The following is a 4982-nucleotide window of genomic DNA, read 5'->3' on the forward strand; positions in this document are numbered from 1 at the left end:
GAGCCCTGCCCTGTTACTATTTTAAATTTATTTCGCTGTTTCCAACATTTATATTTTGGTAAAAAACAAATTAAAATTGAGTTAGAGGAGTGTTCTACTAACTCTTGGAAATAGAACTCAGGCCAATTCTTTTTCATTCATGGTGGAGACACGTGTTTTCTCCTTCTCCCTCTTGGAAGTTAATTTCTGTTTACTATTTGGTGTACTTGACTAAAGTTAGCTACGATTACCATATATTAACATATATTTCAGTAGAGAGAACACTCTTGGAAATTAACCTGGAGCGAGTTCCAGGAGGCCGTTTCTTGTTTTCTTACTCCACAGAATGTCACAAATCCACTGGGTGTGGTGGCTCTTGCCTGTAACCCCAGCACTTTGGGAGGCCTAGGCAGGAGGATCACTTAAGGCCAGGAGTTCAAGACCAGCCTGAGCAACATAGTGAGCCCCACATCTCTAAAAAATAAAAATTGAAAAGTGCACCTGGCCTAGTGGCATAGTCCTAGCTACTTCCAAGGCTGAAGTGGGAGAATCACTTGAGCCTGGGAGATTGAGGCTGCAGTGAGCCATGATTGTGCTGCCGCACTCCAGCCTGGGTAACACTAAGACCTTGTCTCAGAAGTAAAAGGCTGGATGCAGTGGCTCACACCTGTAATCCCAGCACTTTGAGAGGCCAAGGCAGGTGGATCACCTGAGGTCAGGAGTTCGAGACCAGCCTGGCCAACATGGTGAAACCCCATCTCTACTAAAAATGCAAAAATTAGCCGGGCATGGTGGCCAGTGCCTGTAATCCCAGCTACTGGGGAGGCTGAGGCAGGAGAGTTGCTTGAACCTGGGAGGCAGAGGTTGCAGTGAGCCAAAATGATGCCACTGCACTCCAGCCTGGGCAACAAGAGTGAAACTTCGTCTCAAAAAATATAATAATAAATGAAAAAAAATAGCAAATGTTTATTGAGCACCAACTAAGTGCAAAATCCAAGGGATTCCAAGGCCCATTGCTAGGCACTGGGGATGGTGGTGGACAAGACACAGTCCTTGCCTTCAGGGGGCTCCAGGTCTGAGCAGGAACAGGATTGGGGAGAGCAGCACAGCCTGCTGTGTGGGCACCTGACCCAGGCCTCTGCGAAGGCGAGCGCTGAGCTGAAGTCAGGTGGCTCAGGAGAACAAGAGTGCCCAGAAAGCGAGCTGGGGAGGGAGGAGGCGCCCTGCCATGGCCTCAGACCCTGTTAATCAGGGGACTGGAGTCTCAAAGGCCACAGGGTAGGGGCTGGAATGGAGAGACATGGGGGACCTTTGAGTTTGTGGAAGGGGACAGGGCTCCTGCCTTGCCATGCAGACCAGAGGTGATGGTGGCCTGAGTTAGTGCAGAAGCAAGTGGGGACAGGGAGAAGTAAGGGAGAGTCCAGCAATGTGGAGGTGGGAGAATTGTCACGACCCGATGGGGAGAGGACTCATGGGTGCCAGCAGCTGAGTGGGTGAGGGAACCCTTCTGAGACAGCTGACCCAGGCGGTGGGGCAGGAATGCGAGGGAAGATGACAGATTCGGCTGTGGGCCTGGTAAAGTGGAGGGCCCTAGGCATATGTGCTGGGAAGAGAGATCAAGGCTGAAGGTGATGATGGGGTTGTCAGGCTGCCCTGGTCCTTGGAACTATGGGAGTAGATGAAACCAGTCAGGGAGGAGCAAAGAGAGGAGAGGGACCCAGACAGAACCCTGAGAATCGCATATCGAGGGGACAGAAAATGGGGGGACAAGCAGGCAGACTCACTGGAGCCAAGGAACAGGGTTTCCTGGTAGAAGGAGGGGTCCCCGATGACAGGGCTGACAGCTGAAACATCCTCTGGGTTTAGGCAGGCAGATCAGCTGAGGTCAGGAGTTGGAGACCAGCCTGGCCAACATGGCGACACCCCATCTCTCCTAAAAAATATATACAAAAACTTGGTGGGCGCCTGTAATCCCAGCTACTTGGGAGACTGAGGCAGAAGAATTGCTTGAACTCGGGAGGTGGAGGTTGCAGTGAGCCAAGATCATGCCATTGCACTCCAGCCTGAATGACGAGCGAAACTCCATCTCAAAAAGAAGGAGCTATTATAGGCCAGGCATGGTGGCTCACCCCAGTAATCTCAACATTTTGGGAGGCTGAGGCCGGCAGATCACTTGAGGCCAGGAGTTCGAGACTGGTCTGACCAACATGGTGAAACCCTGTCTCTACTAAAAATACAAAAATTAGCCAGGCATGGTGGCCCGTGCCTGTAATCCCAGTTACTTGGGAGGCTGAGGCATGAGAATCGCTTGAACTCAGGAGGTGGAGGTTACAGTGAGCCAAGATGGCACCACTGCACTCCAGCCTGGGCAACAGAGCAAGACTCTGTCTCATAAATATGATAGAGAAAGAAAGGAAAGAAAAAGGGAGGAAGGAAGGAAGGGAAGGAAGGAACGAAGGAAGGAAAGGAAGGGAGGGAAGGGAGAGAAGGGAGGGAAGGAAGGAACGAAGGAAGGAAAGGAAGGGGGGGAAGGGAGAGAAGGGAGGGAAGGGAGGAAGGGAGGGGAAAGAAAGAAATGAAGGAAGTGAGGGAGGGAGGGAAGGAAGGGAGAGAAAGAAAAGAGAAAAGGAAGGGAGGGAGGGAAAGAAAAGCAAGCAAGCAAGCTATTCTGTGTTTGGTTAGGAAACCAACTCTGCAAAGCACTGGCAATTACAACTTGCATTTTGCTTCTGTCTGGGCATGCTGGATAAATATGCCTGTGGGGTGGCGGCATCAGTAACGGGCACAGGAAGCTTTCTCAAGGATGAGTGAAGTCGCTGCAAGAGTGAGAATTCAACAAGCAAAGGACTCCTTTGCTGAAAGCACATTCATCTATGATGCAAACTACTGCGTTTACAAAGTGTTTTCTTCCTGTTTTGTGTGTGTGTGTGTGTGTGTGTGTTTTGAGACAGAGTCTTGCTCTCTGGCCCAGGCTGGAGTGCAATGGTGTGATCTTGGCTCACTGCAACCTCCGCCTCCCAGGTTCAAGCGATTCTTCTGCCTCAGCCTCCCCAGTAGCTGGGACTACAGGCGTGCGCTACCATGCCTGGCTAATTTTTGTATTTTTAGTAGATATGGGGTTTTACCAGTTGACCTGGCTGGTCTTGAACTCCAGGCCTCAGGTGATCAGCCTCCCAAAGTGCTGGGATTACAGGCATGAGCCACCGAGATTCATTTTACCAAGAACTCCACGTTGGAAAGCCATAACATGATTGCTTTTTGAGGACTTTACCCCTGAAATTCAAATGTTCCCTCACCCATAGCCATTGATGGGGGTGGCAGGAGGAGGGCCAGTAAGGAACCCTGGGATTTGCTTATGTCCATGTTAGGGCCTAACTTGCCTTTTAGGTCAGTAACCCGGAGGGGGAAACCTGGTTTATTAGACTAAGTGTCCTCCTGGTTTCATTCTGGCTGTCAGCAGTAGCCTGTAAAAGACAACTCGAAGTGTAGATGGATTTAACCTGGCGTCCGTAACATCTACTCTTCCAATTGTCATAAAATGTGGGCTGGCTGACATGAGTGGAATTTTTCCTTCGTTTGGATAAATGTGTCACGGTCCAATGCTGTTGTGACAGATGGAAAAATCCTATGTAGGGCACGCAGCAGCCTACCCGGCATGGAGGAAGGACTCCAAGGGACCGTCTGGCACCGCCGGGCTGATAGGAACCCATCTTGTCTGTCTGTGAATTATTCATGTGCTGCACTTCCTGAAAAGAATGCTCCTGTTTGACTGCCTCGCTCGTAAAACCGCAGAGAATTCACCGTTAAAGGTGAGAGGCTCCCTGCAGTAGGGAGTGGAAGGGGCCAGGGCACAGCAGAAACTCTTTGCTGCTGTCTGCGAACAGCATGAGAAGGACAGCACGCTGCACTGAAGTTGGGACCCCAGGGGTCTCGCTGGGTCTGTGAGTGGCAGTGCACTCTGGGTGGCAACCCCCAATTAGCTCAGTGCAAGCTCTTCATGGTGCCATCCAACACCCTGGGCAGGGGCCAAGCAAGGTGGCCCATGCCTCTATGCCCAGCACTTTGGGAGGCTGAGGTGGGAGGATCACTTGAGCCCAGGAGTTCGAGACCAGCAGAGGCAACATAGCAAGACCCATCTCAATTTTTTTAAAAAATTTAAAAATTAGCTGGACATTGTGGCACATGCCTGTAATCCCAGTGCTTTGAGAGGCTAAGAGAGGATTGCTTGAGGCCAGGAGTTTAAGACCAGTCTGGGCAATACAGGAAGACTCTATCTCTAAAAAAAGAATTTTTTTTTTTTTTTTTGGCTGGGCACAGTGGCTCACATGTATCATCCCAGCACTTTGGGAGGCCGAGGCAGGCAGGATCACCTGAGGTCAGGAGTTCAAGACCAGTCCGGCCAACATGGTGAAACCCCATCTCTACTAAACATACAAAAAAGTAGCCAGGCTAGTGGCGTGCACCTGTAGCTCGGAGGCTGAGACAGGAGAATCGTTTCAACCCCGGGGTCGGGGGTTGCAGTGAGCCAAGATGGCACCACTGCACTCCAGCCTGGGTGACAGGGCAAAACTCCCTCTCAAAAAACAAACAAAAACAAATTTTTTAAAAACTACCACGGTGTGGTGGCTCCTGCCTACATGTAGCCTCAGCACTTTGGGTGACTGAGGGCAGAGGATCACTCGAGCTCAGGAATTCGAGGCTGCATTGAACCGTGATCGCACCACTGCAGTCCAGCCTGGGCGACAGAGCCAGACCCTGTCTCAAAAAAATAAAAAAAAAAATCCTGTGAAAACTCGGGCGTGGCCAGACGGATTCTCCCCTCCCCACCTTCCTTTCCCCTCCACTGCCCACCTGCACCCGCCCGCCCTGTCCCCACTCCCCGCCCCTCTACGCAGCCAGCGTCCAATGCTGGGCACCCCCCGAGGCTCACCCTGCCAAGCCTGGGGCTCCCCTTTTGCGCCCGGACCCAGGGGCAGGGAAAGCCCAGCTCGTGGTCTGTGGGT

The 4982-nt window shown here is 51.6% G+C and overlaps 2 annotated features.

Annotated features, from left to right (window-relative positions):
- Positions 3120-3414: a silencer, noted in NCBI's record as "tiled region #9959; HepG2 Repressive DNase matched - State 3:PromF". NCBI's record gives its function as "represses a minimal TATA promoter and a strong SV40 promoter by Sharpr-MPRA in HepG2 cells {active_cell/tissue: HepG2}" and the evidence as "EXISTENCE:reporter gene assay evidence [ECO:0000049][PMID:27701403]".
- Positions 4813-4952: a silencer, noted in NCBI's record as "silent region_18504". NCBI's record gives its function as "represses an Ori minimal core promoter by ATAC-STARR-seq in GM12878 lymphoblastoid cells {active_cell/tissue: GM12878}" and the evidence as "EXISTENCE:reporter gene assay evidence [ECO:0000049][PMID:35858748]".

This window comes from Homo sapiens, chromosome 7 (genome assembly GCF_000001405.40).
Source record: "Homo sapiens chromosome 7, GRCh38.p14 Primary Assembly".
NCBI classification, from domain to species: Eukaryota; Metazoa; Chordata; class Mammalia; order Primates; family Hominidae; genus Homo; species Homo sapiens.